This window comes from Homo sapiens, chromosome 3, assembly GCF_000001405.40.
Source record: "Homo sapiens chromosome 3, GRCh38.p14 Primary Assembly".
Classification (NCBI taxonomy): domain Eukaryota; kingdom Metazoa; phylum Chordata; class Mammalia; order Primates; family Hominidae; genus Homo; species Homo sapiens.
The window spans coordinates 155,462,438-155,477,323 of NC_000003.12; the positions used below are offsets into that span (position 1 = coordinate 155,462,438).

The following is a 14,886-nucleotide window of genomic DNA, read 5'->3' on the forward strand; positions in this document are numbered from 1 at the left end:
GAACCAGCTGCAGCAGTGGAGTGCAGCTTGATTTGCCCATCTTTAAATGTTGTTTAGGGGATTGAAACTGACCACGATCTGGAAGGACTGGCCTTGCCCCTCCCTTCTTGAGGAAATAGTGAAAAATATCTTGTTCTCGTACAACATTTGGTATATACTAATATGCAAGAAAATAGAATTAGTGCAAGAGATGCAGCATATCAGACCCAGGTTATGTATCACACCAGCTCCTCTCATCCCTACCCACCCCATCCCACTCAAAGTCAACCGTTTGCATTGTTTCAGCTACTCAGCTACTCGCACAGTGGTTAAGTCCCAGCTACTGTTGCTGCTGCCACTGTCACTGACACCATACACTGAGGAGTCCCCACATGCAGCCCCAGCTGGCATGGAGAGACTAGTGCACTGCACCCCAGGGTTCTGGCTCCCCAGTGGATGCCTGGAGGGATTGTGTAACACAACCTGGAAATACAGGAAGTGAGTGCCTTTTAGGGTAGACTTCACCACTAAAAGAAAGTAGATAGGAAAGATATCAGAAGATCTCTCATCCTTCCCTACAGCGAACTTCTCTCAGAGGCAGTCTTTTCGTATGGCTACTCTGGAGACATCCTGTAAATCCAGTTATCTAGCTGGTTTTGTTGTAAAGCTATGGTCAGCTCAGTAACTCATCCCTTTGTATTTCCTCTCCTGTCTCTGCCTCAATTCTCTATTACTGTCATTCTTGCTTCTTTGGGAATGCACTCCCACCCCCCAGTGAAATAGGTACTTCAGTCAAAAGAAAAAGTGGATAATTCATGTATGTCATATATACAGCAACAAAACTTTCTCTCTTATATTTTCAACTACCATAGGTGATATGTTTCTAATTGTTCGGACATTTAGAACAAAACCAATATATTTTATCTCAGCACCTCTACCAGGTGCTAAGTCTGATAATAAAGATAAGTCCTTATTATCATAACACTAACACCCAGCTGAGTACCTAGCCCAGACTAGATGTTAACTATATGTTTATTAAACTCTTCAGAAAAGGCAATGGTGTGTAGGGGAAAGAGGACTAACGTAGGAGTTGGAATAACCTTGCTCAGCTACTTCTTATCCCTCATGACCTTGGGCAAATCACAAGTTCAATGAGACTCATTTCTGGAATCTATGAAGTGGGGGTAACATCATCTCCTCACAAAATTGTCATAAGGTCTAGATGAGATGCACTATGTACAAAAGTCTCTTTATATTACAGAATCCTATACAAATATCAGTTACTCTTACACATGGCAAATGACTAGTCACTAAATTAAAAGCGAGAGGAAAAAAATGGACTGGATGGAAACCGAGAAATGAGAGAACCAAAGAGAAATATAAAAAGATAAATTTAGTCATCACCACACACACAAAAAATGGAACAAGATCCTGTGCTTCTTCCTCCTTCTAGGCATACAGCAAACTGGGATAGTAGACTGTTTACTCTCACATTTTCCCTAAGTTCCCTGATTCATCAGTTTATCAGATGTTTACTGAATGCACATGGGTACCAGGCTTTGAGCTAGGGAAAAGGGACAAGGCATGGTCATGCCCTTAGGGAAGTCTAGGTCTAGTGGAGAAGGCAGACATGTGAAGAGATCCCTACAATGAAGTGGAACCCAGGGTTTCACAGGTGCATTGGAGGTCCTCAAATGAGATTGTGTAATTCTTGATGGGTTGGAGACAATAAAGGAAGAGGAGATGATGATCAGGAAAGGCTCCCTAGGGAAAGAGATCTTCCAGGATGCATCTTGAAGAATGCATTGGGCAAAAGAGGAAAGGGCAATCTAAGGCAGAGGAAGCCAGGCTGCAGAAACACAAATCAAAGACTCTCTATGCAAGCTTATGGAACCTTATTCTGTAAGTTGTGGAGAACCACTAAAAATTTTTAAGTGGAAAAGGTGGGTTGATTATATTTATATTCAGAAGCTTTGCTTCTGTCCTCTGTGGATATAGCACTGCTGCAGGCAACTCCCCCAGCCACTTGTTACTGTTCAGTCTTAAAACATGCCCTGAAGCCTCTAGGAAAGGAGTCAAATGAGAAAACTTTGAAATTTTACAGGTTTGCTCTAGGTAGATTTTGCAGAGACTAGGTACTTCCTGGATTCTGCAGTTCTATTAAAAAAAAAATCAGGAAGTCTGTTAGTATCTTGATTGAGACCTCACTTGTGTGAGTGCCTTGTGACCGAATGAGTCCCTTTTCCATCCCTCCTGATAAGTGAAACCCTGATGAATCCAAAGCTTTTATTAAAATTTAAGCTTTACTACTGCCTCTTCCTTATTAGGCAATCTCCAAATGATAATTGTAAAATTGCTTCCTCTTCTCTTCCAATGTCCTATTAGTAGAATAATACTACATGTAAGAGTGACAGCCGGGCACGGTGGCTCATGCCTATAATCCCAGCACTTTGGGAGGCCAAGGCAGGTGGATCACAAGGTCAGGAGATCGAGACCATACTGGCTAACACAGTGAAACCCCGTCTCTACTAAAAATACAAAAATTAGCTAGGCGTGGCAGCGTGTGCCTGTAGTCCCAGCTGCTGGGGAGGCTGAGGCAGGAGAATGGTGTGAACCTGGGAGGTGGAGCTTGCAATGAGCCGAGATCATGCCAATGCACTCCAGGCTGGGTGACAGAGTGAGACTCTGTCTCAAAAAAAAAAAAAAAAAAGAGTGACAGACACACATGGGCACTAGAGGGATTGGTCTGATAAACCACCACTTTGTCCCAGTCATTTATCTTATGACTAGATCTCCTCAAGGCAGAGTTAACATCCAAATGTAAATATAAAGGAGAAGGAAGAGTGGGGAGGACTGTCTTACATCTAGGATACAAGCTCAGCCACAGCAGATGGTACCACTCAGAGTCATGAGACCCCTGTTCCAAACACTAGCTTCCAGATGACATTCTAGACATACCCTGGGCTAGAGGGAACCTGCTGCCTTGAAGGAAAGGACCAGTACCAGCAGCATTCATCGCCTGCTAACTGAAGAGTACTTGGACCCCAAATGAACAGCAGCGATACCTAGGTATTATGTCAAGGGCCTTGGGTGAGCCTCTGAGACTTGCCGGCTTTAGGTAAAATTCAGAGCATTACCAGCTGTGGTGGCTATGGGCAAACTCCTTCTGCTTGAGAAAGGCGAGGGAAAAGTAAAAGGGACTCTCTCTTGCATCTTATGTACCAGCAAGGCCACAGGGAGATACAGCACCAAGCAGGTTCTTGGGGTTCCCAATTCTAGAACTTGACTCTTAGACAGCATTTCTGGACCTGCCCTGGGCCAGAGGGGAGCCCAGTGCCCTAAAGAGGGACTCACAGGCCAGGCAGCATTCATAACAAACTGACTTAAGAGACCCTTCGGGCTTAAGGGAACATTGGTGGTAGTCTGACAGTACTCCTCATGGCCTGGGGTGGCAGTGGCTACAAGGTGAGGCTCCTCTGCCTTTGGAAAAAGGAGGGAAGAGGAGTGGGAAGGACTGCATCTTGTGGTTTCAGTGCCAATGCAGCCACAATACAACAGAACACCGGATAGATTTCTGAGGTTTTTGACTCCAGTTCCTGACTCCTGGAAGGCACCTCTGGGCCCACCTAGGGTCTATGAGATTTCACCGCCCTGAAAGGTGGGACCCAGGCATGGTTGGCTTTGCCACTTGCTGACTGTAGAGCCCCAGGGCCTTCAGCAAACATAGGCAGTAGCCAGGGAGTGGTCACAGTAGGCCTTAGGTGAGACTCAGCACTGTGCAGGCTTTGGATCTGACCCAGTGCAGTCATAGCAGTGGTGACTACAGGGGTGGTCTTCACCCCCAGGTTTACGTGGCTTAGAACAGAGGAGAGAGAGAGAGAAACTCTGTATGTCAGAAGAAAGTAAGGGAAAAGAACAAGAGTCTTTGCCAGGTAATTCAGAGAATTCTCCTGGATCTTGTCCAAAATCATCAAGGTGGTACCTCTATGAGTCTGCAAGAACCACACTGTTACTAGGCTTGGAGTGCCCTCTAAAGCAGACACAGCTGAGATCACAACACTCAAATTCTTTCAAATACCTAGAAAACCTTTCCAAGAAGGATGCCTACAAATAAGCTCAGACAGTGAAGACTGCAATAAATACCTGATTTTTCAATGCTCAGACACTGAAGAACATCTACTAGCATCAACACCATCCAGGAAAACATTACCTCACCAGAGGAATTAAATAAGCCACCAGGGACCAATCCTGTAGAAACAGAGATATGTGACCTGTCAGACAGAGAATTCAAAATAGCTGTCTTGAGGAAACTCAAAGAAGTTCAACATAACACAGAGAAGGAATTCAGAATTCTATTAGATAAACATAACAAAGAGATTGAAATAATTTAGAAAAATCAAGCAGAAATTCTGGAGCTGAAAAATGCAATTGACATACCAAAGAATGCATCAGAGTTCTTTAATTGTGGACTTGATCAAGCAGACAAAAGAATTAGTGAGTTTGAAGACAGGCTATTTGAAAATATATAGTCAGAGGAGAAAAAAATTATAAAAAACAATGAAGAATGCCTACAGGATCTAGAAAATAGCCTCAAAAGGGCTAATCTAACAGTTATTGGCCTTAAAGAAGCGGTAGAGAAAGAGATAGGGGGTAGAAAGTTTATTCAAAGGCATAAAAACAGAACTTCCTAAACCTAGAGAAATATATCAATATCCAAATACAAAAGGTTATAGAACACCAAGCAGATTTAACCCAAAGAAGACTACCTCAAGCCACTTAATAATTAAACTCCCAAAAGTCAAGGATAAAGAAAGATCTTCAGTAGAAGTCTTCTGACCAAAAAAAAAAAATAAAAAAGATAAAGAAAGGATCCTAGACCAGGTGCGGTGGCTCACGCCTGTAATCCCAGCACTTTGGACGGCTAAGGTGGGTGGGTCACCTGGGCTCAAGAGTTCGAGACCAGCCTGGCCAACATGGTGAAACCCCATCTCTACTGAAAATACAAAAATTAGCTGGACGTGGTGGTGCGCACCTGTAATCCCAGCTACTTTGGAGGCTGAGGAAGGAGAATCACTTAAACCTGGGAGGCAGAGGTTGCAGTGAGCCAAGATCATGCCATTGCACTCCAGCATGGGTGATAAGAACAAAACTCTGTCTCAAAAAAAAAAAAAATCCTAAAAGCAGCAAGAGAAAATAAATAACATACAATAGAGTTACAATACATCTGGCTGCAGACTTTTCAGTGGAAACCTCACAGTCCAGGAGAGAGAGGCATGACATATTTAAAGTGCTAAAGGAAAAAGAAACTCTTACCCTAAAATAGTATAACTGGCAAAAATATCTTTCAAACATGAAGGAGAAATAAAGACTTGCCCAGACAAACAAAAGCTGATGGACTTCCTCAATACCAGACTTGTCCTATAAGAAATGTTAAAGGGAATACTTCAGTCAGAAAGAAAAGGACATTAATGAGAAATAAATAATCATCCGAAGGCACAAAACTCACTGGTAATAGTAAGTACAGAGAAAAACACAGAGCATTATAACACCATAACTGTGTTTTGTAAACTACTCTTATCCTAAGTGGAAAGACTAAATGAGGAACCAATCAATAATACCTAAAACACCTTTTCAAGACATAGTCAGTACAATAAGATATAAATAAAAATGACAAAAAGTTAAAAAGTGGGGGTATGAAGTTAAAGCATAAAGTTTTCATTAGTTTTCCTTTTGCTTGTTTGTTTATGCAAATAATGTTGCTATCAGGTTAAAATAATGGGTTATAAGATAGTATTTGCAAGCCTCATGGTAACCTCAAAGCAAAAGACATACGAAGAATACACAAAAAAATAAAAAGCAAGAAACTAAATCATATCACCAGAGAAAATCACCTTTACTAGGGGAAGACAGAAAGGAAAGAAAGTAGGAAGAGAAGACCACAAAACAACCAGAAAACGAACAACAAAATGGGAGGAGTAAGTCCTAAAAATGACATTGAATGTACTTGGGCTAAATTCTCCAAAAGACAGACTGGCTGAATAATGAAAAACAAGACCCACTGATCTGCTGTCTACAAGAAACACACTTCACCTACACGGACACACATAGACTGAAAATAAACGGATGGAAAAAGGCATTCCATGCTAATGGAAACCAAAAAAGAGCAGGAGTCACTATACTTACATCAGACAAAATAGATTTCAAGACAAAAACTATAAGAAGAGACAAAGAAGGTCATTCCATAATGACAAAGGGGTCAATTCAGCAAGAAGATATAACAATTTTAAACATATATATAACAAATTTAAACATATATGTTTAAACACTTAACAAAGGAGCACCCAGATATATAAAGCAAATGTTATTAGAGGTAAAGAGAGAGCTAGGCCCCAATACAATAGTAGTGGGAGACATCAACACTCCACTTTCAGCATTAGACAGATCTTCCAGATAGAAAATCAACAAAGAAACATGAGACTTAATCCGCACTACAGACAAAATAGATCTAACAGGTATTTACAGAACATTTCATCCAAGAGCTGCAGAATCCACATTCTTTTCCTTAGCACATGGGTCATTCTCAAGGACAGACCATATGTTAGGTCACAAAACAAGTCTTAAAACATTTTTAAAAATTGGAATAATAGGGGGAGGAGCCAAGATGGCCGAATAGGAACAGCTCCGGTCTACAGCTCCCAACGTGAGCGACGCAGAAGACGGGTGATTTCTGCATTTCCATCTGAGGTACCGGGTTCATCTCACTAGGGAGTTACAGACAGTGGGCACAGGTCAGTGGGTGTGCGCACCGTGTGCGAGCCGAAGCAGGGCGAGGCATTGCCTCACTTGGGAAGCGCAAGGGGTCAGGGAGTGCCCTTTCCGAGTCAAAGAAAGGGGTGATGGACACACCTGGAAAATCAGGTCACTCCCACCCGAATACTGCGCTTTTCGGACCGGCCTAAAAAACGGTGCACCACGAGATTATATCCCGCACCTGGCTCGGAGGGTCCTACGCCCATGGAGTCTCGCTGATTGCTAGCACAGCAGTCTGAGATCAAACTGCAAGGCGGCAGCGAGGCTGGGGGAGGGGCGCCCGCCATTGCCCAGGCTTGCTTAGGTAAACAAAGCAGCCAGGAAGCTCAAACTGGGTGGAGCCCACCACAGCTCAAGGAGGCCTGCCTGCATCTGTAGGCTCCACCTCTGGGGGCAGGGCACAGACAAACAAAAAGACAGCAGTAACCTCTGCAGACTTAAATGTCCCTGTCTGACAGCTTTGAAGAGAGCAGTGGTTCTCCCAGCACGCAGCTGGAGATCTGAGAACGGGCAGACTGCCTCCTCAAGTGGGTCCCTGACCCCTGACCCCTGAGCAGCCTAACTGGGAGGCACCCCCCAGCAGGGGCACACTGACACCTCACACGGCAGGGTATTCCAATAGACCTGCAGCTGAGGGTCCTGTCTGTTAGAAGGAAAACTAACAAACAGAAAGGACATCCACACCAAAAACCCATCTGTACATCATCATCATCAAAGACCAAAAGTAGATAAAACCACAAAGATAGGGAAAAAACAGAACAGAAAAACTGGAAACTCTAAAACGCAGAACGCCTCTCCTCCTCCAAAGGAACGCAGTTCCTCACCAGCAACGGAACAAAGCTGGATGGAGAATGACTTTGACGAGCTGAGAGAAGAAGGCTTCAGACGATCAAATTACTCTGAGCTACGGGATGACATTCAAACCAAAGGCAAAGAAGTTGAAAACTTTGAAAAAAATTTAGAAGAATGTATAACTAGAATAACCAATACAGAGAAGTGCTTAAAGGAGCTGATGGAGCTGAAAACCAAGGCTCGAGAACTACGTGAAGAATACAGAAGCCTTAGGAGCCGATGCGATCAACTGGAAGAAAGGGTATCAGCGATAGAAGATGAAATGAATGAAATGAAGCGAGAAGGGAAGTTTAGAGAAAAAAGAATAAAAAGAAACGAGTAAAGCCTCCAAGAAATATGGGACTATGTGAAAAGACCAAATCTACATCTGATTGGTGTACCTGAAAGTGATGGGGAGAATGGAACCAAGTTGGAAAACACTCTGCAGGATATTATCCAGGAGAACTTCCCCAATCTACCAAGGCAGGCCAACGTTCAGATTCAGGAAATACAGAAAACGCCACAAAGATACTCCTCGAGAAGAGCAACTCCAAGACACATAATTGTCAGATTCACCAAAGTTCAAATGAAGGAAAAAATGTTAAGGGCAGCCAGAGAGAAAGGTCGGGTTACCCTCAAAGGGAAGCCCACCAGACTAACAGCGGATCTCTCGGCAGAAACCCTACAAGCCAGAAGAGAGTGGGGGCCAATATTCAACATTCTTAAAGAAAAGAATTTTCAACCCAGAATTTCATATCCAGCCAAACTAAGCTTCATAAGTGAAGGAGAAATAAAATAATTTACAAACAAGCAAATGCTGAGAGATTTTGTCACCACCAGGCCTGCCCTAAAAGAGCTCCTGAAGGAAGCGCTAAACATGGAAAGGAACAACCAGTACCAGCTACTGCAAAATCATGCCAAAATGTAAAGACCATCGAGACTAGGAAGAAAGTGCATCAACTAACGAGCAAAATAACCAGCTAACATCATAATGACAGGATCAAATTCACACATAACAATATTAACTTTAAATATAAATGGACTAAATGCTCCAATTAAAAGACACAGACTGGCAAATTGGATAAACAGTCAAGACCCATCAGTGTGCTGTATTCAGGAAACCCATCTCACGTGCAGACACACACATAGGCTCAAAATAAAAGGATGGAGGAAGACCTACCAAGCAAATGGAAAACAAAAAAAGGCAGGGGTTGCAATCCTAGTCTCTGATAAAACAGACTTTAAACCAACAAACATCAAAAGAGACCAAGAAGGCCATTACATAATGGTAAAGGGATCAATTCAACAAGAAGAGCTAACTATCCTAAATATATATGCGCCCAATACAGGAGCACCCAGATTCATAAAGCAAGTCCTGAGTGACCTACAAAGAGACTTAGACTCCCACACATTAATAATGGGAGACTTTAACACCCCACTGTCAACATTAGACAGATCAACGAGACAGAAAGTCAACAAGGATACCCAGGAATTGAACTCAGCTCTGCACCAAGCAGACCTAATAGACATCTACAGAACTCTCCACCCCAAATCAACAGAATATACATTTTTTTCAGCACCACACCACACCTATTCCAAAATTGACCACATACTTGGAAGTAAAGCTCTCCTCAGCAAATGTAAAAGAACAGAAATTATAACAAACTATCTCTCAGACCACAGTGCAATCAAACTAGAACTCAGGATTAAGAATCTCACTCAAAATCGCTCAACTACATGGAAACTGAACAACCTGCTCATGAATAACTACTGGATACATAACGAAATGAAGGCAGAAATAAAGATGTTCTTTGAAACCAACGAGAACAAAGACACAACATACCAGAATCTCTGGGATGCATTCAAAGCAGTGTGTAGAGTGAAATTTATAGCACTAAATGCCCACAAGAGAAAGCAGGAAAGATCCAAAATTGACACCCCAACATCACAATTAAAAGAACTAGAAAAGCAAGAGCAAACGCATTCAAAAGCTAGCAGAAGGCAAGAAATAACTGAAATCAGAGCAGAACTGAAGGAAATAGAGACACAAAAAACCCTTCGAAAAATTAATGAATCCAGGAGCTGGTTTTTTGAAAGGATCAACAAAATTGATAGACCACTAGCAAGACTAATAAAGAAAAAAAGAGAGAAGAATCAAATAGACACAATAAAAAATGATAAAGGGGATATCACCACCGATCCCACAGAAATACAAACTACCATCAGAGAATACTACAAACAACTCTACACAAATAAACTAGAAAATCTAGAAGACATGGATAAATTCCTCGACACATACACCCTCCCAAGACTAAACCAGGAAGAAGTTGAATCTCTGAATAGATCAATAACAGGAGCTCAAATTGTGGCAAAAATCAATAGTTTACCAACCAAAAAGAGTCCAGGACCAGATGGATTCACAGCCGAATTCTACCAGAGGTACAAGGAGGAACTGGTACCATTCCTTCTGAAACTATTCCAATCAATAGAAAAAGAGGGAATCCTCCCTAACTCATTTTATGAGGCCAGCATCATCCTGATACCAAAGCCGGGCAGAGACAAAACCAAAAAAGAGAATTTTAGACCAATATCCTTGATGAACATTGATGCAAAAATCCTCAATAAAATACTGGCAAAACGAATCCAGCAGCACATCAAAAAGCTTATCCACCATGATCAAGTGGGCTTCATCCCTGGGATGCAAGGCTGGTTCAATATACGTAAATCAATAAATGTAATCCAGCATATAAACAGAGCCAAAGACAAAAACCACATGATTATCTCAATAGATGCAGAAAAAGCCTTTGACAAAATTCAACAACCCTTCATACTAAAAACTCTCAATAAATTAGGTATTGATGGGACGTATTTCAAAATAATAAGAGCTATCTATGACAAACCCACAGCCAATATCATACTGAATGGGCAAAAACTGGAAGCATTCCCTTTGAAAACTGGCACAAGACAGGGATGCCCTCTCTCACCACTCCTATTCAACATAGTGTTGGAAGTTCTGGCCAGGGCAATTAGGCAGGAGAAGGAAATAAAGGGTATTCAATTAGGAAAAGAGGAAGTCAAATTGTCCCTGTTTGCAGATGACATGATTGTATATCTAGAAAACCCCATTGTCTCAGCCCAAAATCTCCTTCAGCTGATAAGCAACTTCAGCAAAGTCTCAGGATACAAAATCAATGTACAAAAATCACAAGCATTCTTATACACCAATAACAGACAGAGAGCCAAATCATGAGTGACCTCCCATTCACAATTGCTTCAAAGAGAATAAAATACCTAGGAATCCAACTTACAAGGGACGTGAAGGACCTCTTCAAGGAGAACTACAAACTGCTGCTCAAGGAAATAAAAGAGGATACAAACAAACGGAAGAACATTCCATGCTCATGGGTAGGAAGAATCAATATCGTGAAAATGGCCATACTGCCCAAGGTAATTTACAGATTCAATGCCATCCCCATCAAGCTACCAATGACTTTCTTCACAGAATTGGAAAAAACTACTTTAAAGTTCATATGGAACCAAAAAAGAGCCCGCATCGCCAAGGAAATCCTAAGCCAAAAGAACAAAGCTGGAGGCATCACACTCCCTGACTTCAAACTATACTACAAGGCTACAGTAACCAAAACAGCATGGTACTGGTACCAAAACAGAGATATAGATCAATGGAACAGAACAGAGCCCTCAGAAATAACACCACATATCTACAACTATCTGATCTTTGACAAACCTGAGAAAAACAAGCAATGGGGAAAGGATTCCCTATTTAATAAATGGTGCTGGGAAAACTGGCTAGCCATATGTAGAAAGCTGAAACTGGATCCCTTCCTTACACTTTATACAAAAATCAATTCAAGATGGATTAAAGACTTAAACGTTAGACCTAAAACCATAAAAACCCTAGAAGAAAACCTAGGCATTACCATTCAGGACATAGGCATGGGCAAGGACTTCATGTCTAAAACACCAAAAGCAGTGGCAACAAAAGCCAACATTGACAAATGGGATCTAATTAAACTAAAGAGCTTCTGCACAGCAAAAGAAACTACCATCAGAGTGAACAGGCAACCTACAAAATGGGAGAAAAGTTTTGCAACCTACTCATCTGACAAAGGGCTAATATCCAGAATCTACAATGAACTCAAACAAATTTACAAGAAAAAAACAAACAACCCCATCAAAAAGTGGGCGAAGGACATGAACAGACACTTCTCAAAAGAAGACATTTATGCAGCCAAAAAACACATGAAAAAATGCTCATCATCACTGGCCATCAGAGAAATGCAAATCAAAACCACAATGAGATACTATCTCACACCAGTTAGAATGGCAATCATTAGAAAGTCAGGAAACAACAGGTGCTGGAGAGGATGTGGAGAAATAGGAACACTTTTACACTGTTGGTGGGACTGTAAACTAGTTCAACCATTGTGGAAGTCAGTGTGGCGATTCCTCAGGGATCTAGAACTAGAAATACCATTTGACCCAGCCATCCCATTACTGGGTATATACCCAAAGGACTATAAATCATGCTGCTATAAAGACACATGCACACGTATGTTTATTGCAGCATTATTCACAATAGCAAAGACTTGGAACCAACCCAAATGTCCATCAATGATAGACTGGATTAAGAAAATGTGGCACATATACACCATGGAATACTATGCAGCCATAAAAAATGATGAGTTCATGTCCTTTGTAGGGACATGGATGAAATTGGAAACCATCATTCTCAGTAAACTATCGCAAGAACAAAAAACCAAACACCGCATATTCTCACTCATAGGTGGGAGTTGAACAATGAGATCACATGGACACAGGAAGGGGAATATCACACTCTGGGGACTGTGGTGGGGTGGGGGGAGGGGGGAGGGATAGCATTGGGAGATATACCTAATGCTAGATGACGAGTTAGTGGGTGCAGTGCACCAGCATGGCACATGTATACATATGTAACTAACCTGCACAATGTGCACATGTACCCTAAAACTTAAAGTATTAAAAAAAAAAAAAGACAAAAAAATGGAATAATATCAAGCATCTTCTCTGAGCACAATGCAATAAAACTAAAAATTAATAATGAGAAATTTTGGAAACTATACAAATACATGGAAATTAAACAATATGTTCCTGAATAACCACTGGTTCAAAAAGAAATTAAGAAGAAAATTTTAAAATTTCTACAGGATCTAGAAAACGATAATGGAAATATAACTTACCAAAACCTACAGGATACAGCAAAAGCAGCACTCAGAGGGAAGTCTAGAGCTATAAGTGCCTACATTTAAAAAGAGGAAAAACTTCAAATAAACAATCTAACAATGCATCTTAAAGAACCAGAAAAGCAAAGGAAACCAAACCCAAAATTAGTAGAAAAAAATAAATAATAAAGATCAGAGCACAAATAAACAACATTAGAGTGGGAAAAATTACAAAGGATCAATAAAACAAAAAGTTAGTGTTTTCTAATGTAAACAAAATTGACAAACCTTTAGCCAGACTAAGAAAAAAGAGAGAAGATCCAAATAAATAAAATGAGAAATGAAAAAAGAGACATTACAACTGATATTGCAGCAATTCGAAGGACCATTAGTGGCTACCATGAGCAACTACATGCCAATAAATTGGAAAATCTAGAAGAAATTGACAAATTTCTAGATATATAAAACCTACCAAGATTGAACCAGGAAGAAATCCAAAACCCAAACAAATTGATAACAAGTAATGAGATCAAAGCTGTAATAAAAAAGTCTCTCAGTAGAGAAAAGCCTGCAAACTGATGGCTTCACTGCTGAATTCTACCAAACATTTAAAGAATGACTTACACCAATCCTACTCAAACTATTCCAGAAAATAGAGGAAGAAGGAACACTTCCAAACTCTTTCTATGAAGCCAGTATTACCTTGACACAAAAACCAGAAAAAGACACAAAAAAAGAAAATGACAGGCCAATATCTGTGATGAATATTGATGCAAAAATCCGTAACAAAATACTAGCAAACCAATTCAGCAATACATTAGAAAGATCATTCATTATGACTAAGTGGGATTTATCACCCATGGATGGTCCAACATATGCAAATCAATCAGTATGATACATCATATCAATAGAATAAAGAATAAAAAACATATGATAATTTCAATTGATGCTGAAAAAGTATTTGATAAAATTTAACATCCCTTTATGATAAAACTGAGGCTAGAAGGAACATACCTCAAAGTAATAAAAGTCATATACAACAGACCCACAGCTAGTATCATATTGAATGGGGGAAAAACTGGAAAGCCTTTCCTCTAAGATCTGGAACATGATGAGGGTGCCCACTGTCACCATTGTTATTCACCATAGTACTGAAAGTTCTAGCTAGAGCAATCAGACAAGAGAAAGATATAAAGGGCATCCAAATTGAAAAGGAAGAAGTCAAATTATCCTTGTTTAAGGATGATATGATCTTATATTTAGAAAAAACTAAAGACTCCACAAGAAAATTAGTAGAACTGATAAACAAATTCAGCAAAGTTGCAGGATACAAAATCAACATACAAAAATCAGTAGCATTTCAATATGTCAACAGTGAACAATGTGAAAAAAATTAAAGTAATCCTATTTACAATAGCCACATATTAAGCTCTCTATAATGAAAACTATAAAACACTGATGAAGGAAATTGAAAAGGACACCGAACAATGAAAAATATTCCATATTCATGGATTGGAAGACTCAATGTCATTAAAATATCCACACTACCCAAAGCAATCTACAGATTCGATGCAATCCCTATCAAAATACCAATGACATTCTTCACAGAAACAGAAAAAATAATCCTAAAATTTATATGGAACCACAAAAGACCCAGAGTAGCCAAAGGTATCCTAAGCAAAAAGAACAAACCCAGAGGAATCACATTACCTGACTTCAAATTATATTACAGAGCTATAGTAACCAAAACAGCATGGTACTGGCATGAAAACAGACACACAGATCAATGGAACACAATAGAAAATGCAGAAACAAATCCACACACCTACAGTGAACTCATTTTCAACAAAAGTGCCAAGAACATATGCTAAGGAAAAGACAGTCTCTTCAATAAGCAGTACTGGGAAAACTGGGTATCTATATACAAGATAAAGAAAATAGACCCCTACCTCTCGCCATATACAAAAATCAAATTAAAATGAATTAAAGACAAATCTAAGATGTTAAGCTATAAAATGACTACAAGAAAATATTGGAAATTTCCAGG

The 14,886-nt window shown here is 40.3% G+C and overlaps 1 protein-coding gene across 1 annotated transcript in view; it reads right to left on the reverse strand.

Annotated features, from left to right (window-relative positions):
- PLCH1 (phospholipase C eta 1) overlaps positions 1-14,886 on the reverse strand; it is a 294,138-nt gene that overhangs the window by 11,504 nt on the left and 267,748 nt on the right. The window lies entirely within an intron of this gene.